Source organism: Homo sapiens, chromosome 3, assembly GCF_000001405.40.
Source record: "Homo sapiens chromosome 3, GRCh38.p14 Primary Assembly".
In the NCBI taxonomy this organism is placed as follows: Eukaryota; Metazoa; Chordata; class Mammalia; order Primates; family Hominidae; genus Homo; species Homo sapiens.
In genome coordinates this window covers 57540985-57554353 of record NC_000003.12, presented here as the reverse complement: position 1 = coordinate 57554353, position 13369 = coordinate 57540985, and the positions used below count along the sequence as shown (strand labels likewise).

At 42.2% G+C, this 13369-nt stretch overlaps 1 protein-coding gene and 1 pseudogene across 9 annotated transcripts in view, besides 1 other annotated feature; one reads left to right on the top strand and one right to left on the bottom strand.

Moving 5' to 3' along the window:
• The window catches only part of DNAH12 (dynein axonemal heavy chain 12), a 262335-nt gene that overhangs the window by 1681 nt on the left and 247285 nt on the right, over positions 1-13369 (top strand). For 6 of the 9 annotated variants that reach the window (XM_011533468.2, XM_047447668.1, XM_047447666.1 and 3 more), the window contains exons 2-3: positions 9891-10157; positions 11451-11653. In XM_011533468.2, coding sequence (XP_011531770.1) covers positions 11484-11653 — 170 coding nt within the window. In that variant the 5' untranslated portion in view covers positions 9891-10157; positions 11451-11483. Of the gene's footprint in view, positions 1-9890; positions 10158-11450; positions 11654-13369 lie in introns of those variants that run through there. The other 3 variants (NM_001366028.2, NM_198564.4, XM_047447667.1) reach the window with 2 other exon arrangements.
• RNU6-483P (RNA, U6 small nuclear 483, pseudogene) lies at positions 5409-5516 on the bottom strand (annotated as a pseudogene).
• Positions 9872-10422: an enhancer, noted in NCBI's record as "NANOG-H3K4me1 hESC enhancer chr3:57529659-57530209 (GRCh37/hg19 assembly coordinates)". NCBI's record gives its function as "activates a minimal SCP1, AML or CMV promoter by ChIP-STARR-seq in primed H9 embryonic stem cells {active_cell/tissue: H9 hESC(primed)}" and the evidence as "EXISTENCE:reporter gene assay evidence [ECO:0000049][PMID:30033119]".

Here is a 13369-nt window from a genome sequence, read left to right as displayed (position 1 = left end):
AAAAAGGTGTTTGATACTGTAATTGTCATTGGCCTCCATGTAATTATTTTTTTATTTTTTTATTTTTGAGATGGAGCCTCACTCTGTCACCCAGGCTGGAGTGCAGTGGTGTGATCTCGGCTCACTGCAGCCTCCACCTCCCGGGTTCAAGCGATTCTCATGCCTCAGCCTCCCAAGTAGCTGAGATTACAGGTGTGCACTGCCATGTCTGGCTAATTTTTGTATTTTTAGTAGAGATGGAATTTCACTGTCTCTACTAAATATGTTAAAACGCCGTCTCTACTAAAAATACAAAAATTAGACGGGGTTTCATTATCTCTACTAAACATGGTGAAACCCTGTCTCTACTAAAAATACAAAAATTAGCCGGGCGCAGTGGTGTTCGCCTGTAATCCCAGCTACTCAGGAGGCCGAGGCAGGACAATCTTTTGAACCTGGGAGGCAGAGGTTGCAGTGAGCCGAGATCGCGCCACTGCCCTCCAGCTTGGGAGACAGCAAGACTCTGTCTCGGAAAAAAAAAAAAAAGAAATATCTTCAGAATTTAATTTAGACATTTTGCCTACATCAATTGGTCAGACAGATTTATGCTTTCTTTGCTAGATGTTTTAAAGTCATAAAACTGTTGCTTCCGTGATATTTTTAATACTTGCTTGATTTGTGTATAAGTTAAAACTATGAGGTCAGGCTGCGGGGCTCCCCTGAAACCTTGCACACATTTTGATATGAGCTTTTGTCTTTGGCTTTGGGCCTCTGGATTCTGAGATCTAGACAGGTGGCCATGGTGAAGCCTGGAAACGTGTGTGTCTGTATCACCTGGACTACCAGCTGCATGTAAAGCTGAGTGCAGTATGGCCCTGTCCTCCCTGGCGCAACTCTGCATCCTTATCATGTTGGGAGGGGTTGGAACCTCCACCATCATCTTCACAGCTTTATCCTCTGTACTGGGCTCTATACCTGGTATGTAAATCCAGGACACAGATGGGCTCTGCCCTTCATAGCTGTCCTGGATGCCACATGGATACTCAGGAACAGGGTGACTGGGGTTGGAGAAGGACAAAGGGATATTGGGAAAAGTGCCTCTGTCCAATATCTGAAAGGCCTTGGTTAAGATGAGACTGGCTGATGCAGGGTTAGGTTAGTTTTGTGTTTTCTTTGCTCTTTATTTATTTATTTTTTGAGATGGAGTTTCACTCCTTTTGCCCAGGCTGGAGTGCAATGGCATGATCTTGGCTCAGTGAAAACCTCCACCTCCTGGGTTCAAGCGATTCTCCTGCCTCAGCCTCCTGAGTAGCGGGGATTACAGGTATGCATCACTACACCCAGCTAATGTTGTATTTTTAGTAGAGACAGGGTTTCTCCATGTTGGTCAGGCTGGCCTCAAACTCCCGACCTCAGGTGATCCACCCACCTTGGCCTCCCAAAGTGCTGGGATTATAGGCATGAGCCACCACGCCCAGCCACTTTTTATTTTTTTAAGACAGGGTCTCATTCTGTCACCCAGGCTGGAGTGCAGTGGCAACATAATAGTTCACTGGAGCCTTGAACTCCTTGGTCTCCTACTTTAGGTACACGCAACTACACCCAACTAATTGTTTTTTATTTGTTGTAGAGATGGGGGATCCCACTATGTTGCCCAAGCTGGTCTCAAACTCCTGGGCTCAAGCGATCCACCTGCCTCAGCCTCCCAAAGGGCTGAGATTAGCAGTATGAGATGAGACACTATACCTGGTGGCTTTGTTTTTTCAAAATAAATAACTTTCTAGAATGGAAGGGGCTTAATGAAAATAAATAAATAAATAAATAACATAAATGGCTAGTTTTGCTTTCCATAAGCAAATGAAATACAGTTGTTAAGAACAAGTAAATTAGATAACTGTGAATGGGATAAGCATCTACAAATAAACTTGTCATAGTTTCCAAAACTTTTTCAGTAATTTAAAATCTTAAAGTCATGCTGTATTAAATGAAGTAATAGATAATTATAAATTGTCCGCATTGGCTGAGCACAATGGCTCATGCCTGTAATCCCAGCACTTTGGGAGGCTGAGACGGGAGGATTGTTTGAGCCCTGGGCAACATAGTGAGACCCCATCTCTTTTTTTTTTTTTTGAGATGGAGTCTTGCTCTGTCGCCCAGGCTGGAGTGCAGTGGCGTGATCTCGGCTCACTGCAAGCTCTGCCTCCTGGGTTCATGCCATTCTCCTGCCTCAGCCTCCTGAGTAGCTGGGACTGCAGGCACCTGCCACCATGCCCAGCTAATTTTTTGTATTTTTTAGTAGAGACAGGGTTTCACCGTGTTAGCCAGGATGGTCTCGATCTCTTGACCTCATGATATGCCCACCTCAGCCTCCCAAAGTGCTGGGATTACAGGCGTGAACCACCATGCCTGGCCCGAGACCCCATCTCTTAAAAAAAAAAAAAAGTAAAATGTCTGAGTTATTTCTAAGTGAAAATACTGAAACATTAATTATTAAACTTAAGTTTATATACTTTGATGTCTTTTTTTCATTTTTCCCACTTATTCTCAAGTTCTGTTTTTTTTTCATTTTTTTGATGTCTTGTTTCATATGATATAGAAAGCTAAATATATTTGGATTCATTAATAACACTTTGAGAAAACATATCTTTTTAGAAATTATTAAGTGGCTGTTGTCTGCAAATACTGATATAAAACAATTCAAAATTACTGACTTCCTGGGTTGTCACTAGAAATTAGGGTTACTAAGAGTTAAAATTCAAAGTAATATATGTAATTAAAACTACTGAAAGTAAGAAATAATTTTGTGGCCGGGCGCGGTGGCTAATGCCTGTAATCCCAGCACTTTGGGAGCCAAGGCGGGCGGATCACGAGGTCAGGAGATTGAGACCATCCTGGCTAACACGGCGAAACCCCGTCTCTACTAATAATACAAAAAATTAGCAGGGCGTGGTCGTGGGTGCCTGTAGTCCCAGCTACTAGGGAGGCTGAGGCAGGAGAATGGTGTGAACCCGGGAGGCGGAGCTTGCAGTGAGCCGAGATCGCGCCACTGCACTCCAACCTGGGCGACAGAGCGAGACTCCATCTCAAAAAATAAATAAATAAATAAATAAATAATTTTGTATACAGAGTACGATAAAAACAACATATCTTTTTAGTGAGGAAAAGTTAAGTCATGAGTATATGTGCTTTTGTTTAAAAATTTTTGTTTTGGCTGGGCACGGTGGCTCACGCCTGTAATCCCAGCACTTTGGGAGACTGAGGCGGGTGGATCACAAGGTCAGGAGATCGAGGCCATCCTGGCTAACACGGTGAAACCCCATCTCTACTAAAAATACAAAAGAAATTAGCTGGGCATGTAGTCCCAGCTACTCGGGAGGCTGAGGCAGGAGAATGGTGTGAACCCAGGAAGCGGAGCTTGCAGTGAGCCGAGATTGCGCCACTGCACTCCAGCCTCAGCGACAGAGCGAGACTCCATCTCAAAAAAAAAAAAAAAATTGTTTCTAGCCACTGAAACAATAACAAAAAAAATGAAAAACTTTTGCCTAATTAAAGGTTATTTAAAGATTGTCTTAGAATAAATATATGGCACTTTGGGAGGCCAGGGCGGGTGGATCACCTGAGGTCAGGACTCTGAGACTAGCCTGGCTAGCATGGTGAAACCCCATCTCTATTAAAAATACAGAAAAAAAAAAAATTTAGCTGGGCGTCGTGGTACGTGCCTGTAGTCCCAGCTGCTTGGGAAGCTGAGGCAGGAGAATCGCTTGAACCCGGGAGGGGGAAGTTGCAGTGAGCCAAGATTGCACCACTGCACTCCAGCCTGGGTGGCAGAGTGAGACTCTGTCTCAAAAAATAAAAATAAAAATAAATGTATGGAAAAATGTATACAAAAATAAACGGATATAAAAAGTTGGAGAAAAAATTTAAAAACTGTAAGAGGTTATAAAAGGCTTATGGATTTCTTATGTGGTCAAAGTTGACTGAGACTGGATCTATTTGTTTATAAGGTTTTATTATTAATATTTATTTATTCATTGTTTGTTTTGTTTTGTTTTGTTTTTAAAAGCAGGGTCTTGATCTGTGACCCAGGCTGGTGTATGGTGGTGTCGTCATAGTTCATTTGTAATCTCAAATTTCTGGGCTCAAGCAATCCTCTTGCCTCAGTCTCCCAGGTGGTTAGGACTACAGGTATGTAGCCATGCCTGGCTAATTAAAAAAACTTTTTTTTGTAGAGATGGGGTCTCGCTAGCTGTGTTGCCTAGGCTGGTCTTGCACTCCTGGCCTCAAGAGATCTTCCCACCTTGGCCTCCCAGAGTGTTGGGATTACAGGCGTGAACCACCATGCCTGGCCTTATGGTTTTATTGAAATTTGCTTTAGTAATACACTGATACAAAACTAAATTTGGTTCTCTCATTTGAACATGATTTTCTGGTGGTATTAATAAAAGATAGTAAGCCAGGTATGGTGGCTCACACCTGTAATCCCAGCACTTTGGGAGGCCAAGGCAGAAGGACTGCATAAGCCCAGGAGTTTGAGACCAGCCTGGGCAACATGGCAAAACCCTGTCTCTACCAAAAATACAAAAATTAGCTGGGCATGGTGGTTCATGCCTGTAGTCCTAGCTACTCTGGAGGCTGAGGTGGGAGGATGATTTGAGCCTGGGAGGCTGAAGTCGCAGTGAGCTGAGATTGCGCCATTGCACTCCAGCCTGGGTGACAGAGCCAGACCCTGTCTCAAAAAATAAAATAAAATATAGTAAAAGATTTTGTTCACTTTTTGAGTAAATTGCAAAAGAAAGAAGAGAGAGAGAGAGAAACAGATTGTGTGCCTCATGCTGTCTTTAAACAATTTTTAAAAAAATTTTTTGGGTCTTACTCTGTTGCCCAGGCTGGAGTGCAGTGGCATGATCTTGGCTCACTGCAACCTCCATCTCCTGGGTTCAAGCGATTCTCCCACGTCAGCCTCCCAAGTAGCTGGGACTACAGGCGCGCACCACCATGCCTGGCTAATTTTCGTATTTTTTGGTAGAGACGGGGTTTCACCATGTTGGCCAGGCTGGTCTCGAACTCCTGACCTCAAGTGATTTGCCTGCCTCAATCTCCTAAAGTGCTGGGATTACAGCTGTGGCCCACTGCACCTGGCCTGATTAAATTTTTTAATTAAAAATATTTTTTATAAACATAGTCTCACTCTGTTGCCCAGGCTGGAGTGCATTGGCTATTCACAAGTGCAGCCATAATAGCTCACTGCAGCCTTGAACTCCTGAGCTCAAGTGATCCTCCCACCTTGGCCTCCTGAGTACCTGGAATTATGGGCACAGGCCACTGCATCCGGCCCTGCTCTCTTTGTTAGATCTTTTCATTATTTGGAAAACTGAGTCTTCTCTCTATGAAAAAGTGAAGGATTTTGCTTTATAAAATCTTTTTTTAAAAAAACTATGGAATGCTTCACAAATTTGTGTGTCATCCTTATGCAGGCACCATGGTAATCTTTTCTGTATCATTTCAGTTTTAATATTATGTGCTGCCGAAATGAGCACTGCTTTGTAAAATCTTTTAAATTTTCACTTTGGCTAAATGAATAACTGTTATTTTACAGTGACCTATGATCTTCTTTTGATCAAATGTCTTAAAACTTTCCTCGTTTGTTTTCATTTAAAAACAATTTTTTTGAGACCGTGTCTCACTCTGTCACCCAGGCTGGAGTGCAGTGGTGCAGTAATGGCTTACTGCAGCCTCGACCTCCTAGGCTCAAGTGATCCTCCCCCCTCAGTCTGCCAAGTAGCTGGGCCCACAAGTGCACACCACCAACGCCTGGCTAAGAAATATTCTGTAGAGACAGAGTCCCCTGATGTTGCCCAGTCTGATCTCAAACTCCAGGGCTCAAGTGATCTTTCCACCTCAGCCTTCCAAAGTGCTGGGATTACAAGTTTGAGCCACTGAGCCTGGCCTTTTCTATTTTAATTGAGTGTTTTTATCCTTTGACATACTTGACAGGCTTCCCAAAGTCAAATTTCAAATTCTAAATTAAGTCTTTTCGGCCTCAAACTAACCTTAGGTTATCCCAGAATGGCCCCTGGAAGCCTAAGAGAGACGTATTAGGCTTATTTGATATGTAAATTATACAGGAAACCTTTGCATTACATTTATATGAACATGTTATTAATATGTGTTTTAAAAGTATATGAGATTCCTAAAAGTCTGATGTGTCTTTTTGTATGTTATCAGTCATAATTATGGCTACTATGTAAACTTGTTATAGACTACAGAAAAAAACAAATTTCCTTGTCAATCGCATCATTGTTGTAAACTCTTACCAGGTCTTTCACCATAGCCATTCTAAATCTTGTTGTTCGTAGTAAATTGCTTTATTCTAATGTTTTTTCTAAATGATCTTTGCAAGCAAATATAATCCTAAAGCATTGTGTCTTCAAAGAGGTTTATGAGAAGGATAAAAAGTCTGATACATACTCTGGAATACAGGCCTCTGTTGATTATTAAGTTGGACTGAATAAGAACTTGAGAAACTCCAATGGTAAAAACTGGACTTAAAATTGCTAATTTATCAAGTAGAACAAAAATTAATTACATGGGACGGAACTGATGAGGACTGAAATGATTTTAATGACTTTTTTGCTTGAAACGTTGCTTTTTATTATTATTTTCTTTCAGAGTTAAGAAAACTTTTTTTCTCTGCATTATCTGTAGTTTTATAGCAATTTGGTAACTTTTTGGTATATTTTGTGAGTAAAATTGAAATATTTATCTTTCTCTCTACCTGATATCTCCAGAATTAGGAAACTATTCATGAGTATTCTTGTTTTATGGCAATATTATTTATTTGTATAAGCTCAAGAGGAATCTGTTCTTGTAAAAGAACACACTTTTGGAAACATTGGCTATTAAAAAGGATGTACATCGGCCAGGCGTGGTGGCTCACACCTGTAATCCTAGCACATCTAGAGGCCAAGGCAGGAGGATTGCTTGAGGCCAGGAGTTCAAGACCATCCTGGCCAACATTGTGAGACTTTGTCTCTATAATAAAATTTTTTTTTAAAGTAAAAAAAAAAAGGACGTACATTGTATCAGTCAGGGTTCAAAGTGGGAAGCAGAACCACTAAGATATAATACATATCATCTATATCTATATCTATATCTATATCTATATATGTGTGTGTGTATGTCTATACATATATATATATTTTTTTAAACAAAGAATTGGCTTATGCAATGGAGGGGGCTGGTTAACCAAGTCCATGGTCTGTAGGGCAGACTATCTGTCAGGAAGGGAAGAACCAGAAAATGGAGAGCAGTTATAGACCCAGCTGCTGTTTGGAGTTTGACTCAGGGCATGCCCATCTCTTTATTATTATTTTTTTAATTTTTAATTTTTTAAAATAGAGACAGAGTTACACCATGTTGCCCAGGCTGGTCTCAAACTCCCTCAAGAAGTCTGTCTGGCTCGGCCTCCTAAGGTGCTGGGATTACAGGGTTGATCCACTTTGCCAGGCCTAAATCTTTTTAAAAGGATTTCTACTGATTGAGTCAGGCTCACCCAGGATAATCTTCTTAGATCAATGTCAATTGACCAGGGACTTGAATTGAGCTGTAATCTCCTCACAGCAGCCCTAGATTAGTGTTTGATTAATGACTGGGAGAAGGTGGGTATATCATACACAAGATTGCTGCCTTCTCTTTAGTTCTTCTAATTTAGCCTAACCAAATTGACATTCAGGCTAGATATGGTGGCTCATGCCTATAATCCCAACACTTTTAGGAAGCTGAAGCAGGAGGATTGCTTGAGTCCACTAGTTTGAGGCAAGCCTGTGCAACATAGTAAGACACTGTCCCAACAAAATATTTTTAAAAATTAGCCGATGTCGTGGTGTGTGCCTGTAGTCCCAGCTACTCAGGAGGCTAAGGTGGGAGGATCCCTTGAGCCCAGGAGTTTGAGGATGCAGTGAGCTATTGCTGTAGTCTCAGCAATGCACCAAGATGTAACAGTTTCTCATTGTCTGAGATAACACCTGGAGTTATTTGTCCCACCTCCAAGATGATTAAGGAGCGCAGACCCAAAGGTTAGTTTAGAACGAACGTTTAATAAGAGAAAGAAGAAAGCTCTCTGCCAGCAGAGAGGGGGACCTGAATGGGGTGCCCCCTATGAGGCTGGGGTCCAGGGTTTTTATGGACTGGGAAGGGGAAGGAATGTGCTTCGTCCCCCGACCCCGCTACCCTGGGGCTTGGCCTGGTACTAATCAGGAGCTGAAATGATGATTCATAGATGCTGCTTAGCTTGGCTCGGGACCTATCAGGAACTGAAGAGAAAGTTTGGCCCTGGACCTTGGCCCAGGACAAATCAGGAGCTGAAGTGATGATTCCTAGAAGCCGGACTTACAATCCAAATAAAGGAAAGTAGAGTGCCCACTGGAACCTACTGGAGCCCACTGTGCCCATACCCACAAAAGGAAAATAAACTTTTTTTTCCCTGGGAGCCCATTGACTATACAAAGGACAAAGGCATTTCTTTGTTCCTTTATGTGAGTGAGGAGGAGGTCTGTGCAAGTTTTTGTCCAAATGGGCTGGAGATTTTTCTATCTGTGGAGCCGTGGGCATGTCTCCAGGCACAACACCCTGTGCTAGTTCCCTTATTGGTGCCTGCCGCTTGAATTTTTTCCCAGGCTGCTTTTTATGTTATGTGGGGATGAGGCACTGACCCATGGGCTGGGGGTTCTCTGGGGACCCTTCCCTTGCTATCTACCTAATGCAAAATCTAGCTGACTCCTTTCACTATGATGGTGCCGCTGCACTCCAGCCTGGGTGACAGAGCGAGAGCCCTGTCTCTAAAAAATAAACCCTAACAAATTGACATTAAAAAAACTGTCTAATCTGTCATAGGACTGAGTTTAAAAGAGAAAAGGTGGCATGGTGCAGTGGTTCACGCCTGTAATCCCAGCATTTTGGGAGGCCGAGGTGGGCGGATGACCTGAGGTCAGGAGTTCAAGACCAGCCTGACCAACATGGAGAAACCCCGTCTCTACTAAAAAAAAAAAAAAGAAAAGAAAAAAAATTAGTCGGGTTTGGTGATGCATGCCTGTAATCCCAACTACTTGGAAGGCTGAGGCAAGACAATCACTTGAACCTGGGAGGTGGAGGTTGTGGTGAGCACTCCAGCCTGGGCAACAAGATCAAAACTCTGTCTCAAAAAAAAAAAAAAAAGTCACATTATTTATACAAGTATTTTATTTTCTACAGAAAGATAATTTGCTTTTACAAACTACCAGGAAGTTTTACTTGTTCATTCACTCGCTTAAATGACATTTTAGAGCACCTACTCTGTGCCAGACACAATAGTGTAGGCTGTACTCTCATTAAAAAAAAAAAAAAAAATTACGTAGCAACTGGCACATAGAAGGTGCTCAAATATTTGTTGAATGAATATGCTGTTAACACACCGGCAGTATTCACTTCCCTAATTTAATTTTGGCACATAGTATTCTCGTAGGCTATTATCATTTAGATGTAGTATGCATTGTGCAGCTTCAAACAGCAAAATTTCACATCTTTCTCCCAGCATACCACTAAATTCACACACCTTAACCTGTTTGATTTTGCCAAAGAATTCCTGGAAGTGCTGTGTCAACAAATAGCAAATCTAGAAGCAAGATAAATTATATTGCTGATTAGTTACAATATTTACAGGGTGTCACTAGGGGACATTTGAAGACTTGATTCTCTTGCTGAGAGTGTTTCCATAAATCTGTTTTCCAACAGATCTAAATTTCCAGTCTTGCAGTTTTCCACAGTTTGAAGATTCTAATTTCCTGGTCCCCTTCCCAGGAAAGGCAGTTAGGTTAAAACAAACAAACAAAACCTCACACCCCATTTACTTGAGTAACGAATTATTGTTGTGACAGGTAATCCTAACCCCTTGCAGCTTGGCAACTGCCTCTCCAGGCAACCTTCACCCAGCCCCTCCAGCTGGGGCCGCCACAGTTTCCATGGCGACGACGTTGTTTCCAACCGGTCAGCGACCGCCCTTCTCCAGCTACTCGTTTGAGAGCCGGTGGCGTTCCGGAGGTTTCTCCCTCGTTATCCCCCTGCCTTTCACCTGAGGAGAGGCTCTGACTGTCTCTCTCTCTCTCTGGCGTCTGCGCAGCGGGGAAGTAGTGAGAAACAATCAGGTACTTGTTCTCTGCTGTTCTCTTCCTTTCTCTCCCAGGGCAGGTATCGCGATTTGGGTGCCAACTTAAACACTCTTTCAAGGCAGGAATCTCCAAATCCTGTAGGCATTCATGGCAAATATAGTTGTTATCACAGTACAATTTTTTTTTGAGACGGAGTCTCGCTTTATCGCCCAGGCTGAAGTGCGGTAGCGGGATCTCAGCTCACTGCAACCTCTGCCTCCCAGGTTCAAGCGATTCTTGTGCCTCAGCCTCCTGAGTAGCTGGGATTACAGGCGCCTGCCACCACGCCCGGCTAATTTTTGTATTTTTAGTAGAGATGGGGTTTCACCATGTTGGCCAGGCTGGGCTCGAACTCCCGACCTGAGGTGATCCGCCCACCTCGGCCTCCCAAAGTGCTGGGATTACAGGCGTGAGCCACCGCGCCTGGCCCACAGTAAAATTTTTGAGCATTTACATGACATTTTATATTTGCCATGCATCAAGTATGCCTATTTTTTGCTTGATCATAGCATCACTTTCTTGGAAGGCAGCAAGACTAAGATATCATACTGATGTTTAAAAATATTAATGATTGGCTGGGGGCGGTGGCTCACGCCTGTAATCTCAGGACTTTGGGGGACCGAGGCGGGAAATCATCTGAGGTCAGGAGTTCGAGACCAGCCTGGCCAACATGGTGAAACCCTGTCTCTACTAAAAACACAAAAAAGTAGCTGGGCGTGGTTGCGCACCTGTAGTCCTAGCTACTCGGGAGGCTGAAGCAGGAGAACCACTTGAACCTGGGAGGCGGAGGTTGCAGTGAGCCAAGATCGCGCCATTGCACTCCAGCCTGGGCGACAGAGCAAGAATCTGTCTCAAAAAAAAAAAAAAAAAAAAAAAAACCATTAATGATGTTAAATATCAGCTTTTACTGGGAAGGGGATCATCCCTCAACAACTGGATTTGTTGTGGTGGTGGTGGTAGTGGTTTGCATCTCGGGAAAATTTTGCACCCAGAATGCTACAGCTGTAGGGATATTTACAGAGCATCTAATTCAATTCCTTAGTTTCATCCATTAGGAAACAAGCCCTGAAGGGGAACTGACTGGCTCATTGCTTCATAAGTGAGTTTTAGAGTTCTAACAGGAATCCCTGCCAACTTACCTCAACTGTCATTCTTTAGACTAATACCATACTTGGGAGGAAGATCCAAAAGTGTCTAGAATTTTACTTTTGGTATTGATATGTTAGATATGTTATGAATGTGTCGAGGCTTGCTGACATAATAATGGCTTTATGGACTTTTTCTCCTCAGAGTACAGAGTATTTTAATCTTTAGGGGATCAAGATGTCAGATGCAAACAAAGCTGCCATTGCAGCAGAAAAGGAAGCTCTGAACTTGAAGTTACCCCCCATTGTCCATCTCCCAGAAAACATAGGCGTTGATACACCAACACAAAGTAAGCTGCTAAAATACAGAAGATCCAAGGAGCAGCAGCAGAAAATTAATCAGTTAGTGTAAGTAGCATATTAGTAGATAATTCTTGCTTGGAATTCAAGTAAAATGATTAGTGTTCATATTCTCCTAAAAAGTTTTAACTGTGGAGGTTGTTCATGGGTAAAATACTATTTTCAAGTTAATTAGAAAAACAATTGAAAAGTAATTGTAATGGTAGCAAATATTATACACTGTACACTGACAGACATTGTTCTTATCGCCTATACTTCTTGCAACAATCCTATAAGGTAGGTACTATTGTTAGCTCCATTGTTTAGATGAGTATACTGAGGTATAGAGAAGTTAAGTAACTTGCCTAAGGTTGCACAGCTGGGATTTGGACCTGGTTGGTCTGGTTCTAAAGTTCACATTCTTTAAGCACCACATTATTCCTCCTTTCAATATATTATAACCATACTGGTCCCTGAAAGTAAAATCAAATAACTGAACCCCTACAATTTGAACAAATACTTAATAAAATATCTTGAAACTACTTATATTTGAAATTTTTTTGCTACAAAAGGAAACAGAGTTCAACATCCTACTCACCGCCCCCCCCCCCCCCAGTTTAGTGGAAATTAAAACTAATTTGGGTACCTGCTGCCAAAGGCTGTGATGAGGTTGGTTCAGTTCAATTAGACAGTTACTGAGAATTTCCTAGACAGCCGATTCTGCTGGTTTCTAGGGATAAATAAAAAGAAAAATACATGGATTTCATTTACAAAATTCCAAGCCAACACTTAAACTATAAAATGAGGTTTTCTCTTTGGTGGATTTCTGTTTCCCTTTCTACATTCTCTTTCCTTTCTTGGTCGGCCTTATTTAAAAACCTTTTTTTGCAGCTAAGTATCATTGCCAATTTAATAATTTTAATTTTTGCTAATTTTACTTTCCTTACAATTAAACAGGTCTATTAATCATATACCTTCTTTAGATTTACATTTGTATTAGTCCAGCAATAATTTACTCATATTTAAATATACATTTATAGGGTATATAAACTAATATCAGTATATGTACTATTAGAGATGCTTAAGTATTCAAGACTTAGACAGAAAAAAAAAAAAGATTACATGCCTGTAATCTCAGCATTTTGGGAGGCCACAGTGGGAGGATTGCTTGAGCCCAGGAATTTGAGATGAGTCTGAGCAAGGTAGTGAGACCCTCATCGCTATAAAAAAAAAAAAATTAGCCAGGTGTGGTGGGGCATGCCTGTGGTCCTAACTACTTGGGAGGCAGAGGCAGGAGTATTGGTTGAGCCCAGGAGGTCAAAGCTGTAGTGTGCAAGATGTGATGGCATCATTGCACTCCCAGCAATGAGCAATGGCATGAGACCCTATCTCAAACAAGCAGACAAAAATAGTCTTAAAAGAAAAAGAGAGGCCGGGTGCAGTGGCTCACACCTGTAATCCTACCACTTTGGGAGGCTGAGGTGGATGGGTTACCTGAGGTCAGGAGTTCAAGACCAGCCTGGCCAACATGGTGAAACCCATCTCTACTAAAAATACAAAAAATTAGCTTGGCGTGGTGGCAGGTGCCTGTAATCCCAGCTACTCAGGAGGCGGAGGCAGGAGAATCTCTTGAACCTGGGATGGGGAGGTTGCAGTGAGCTGAGATCACACCACTGCACTCCAGCCTGGGTGACAAAACGAGACTCCATCTCAAAAAAATAAAAGGGAGGGGGAGAGATGCATTCCTCCTTCATTCCTAAGATTCTATTCAGTGTTTCAGTAGAT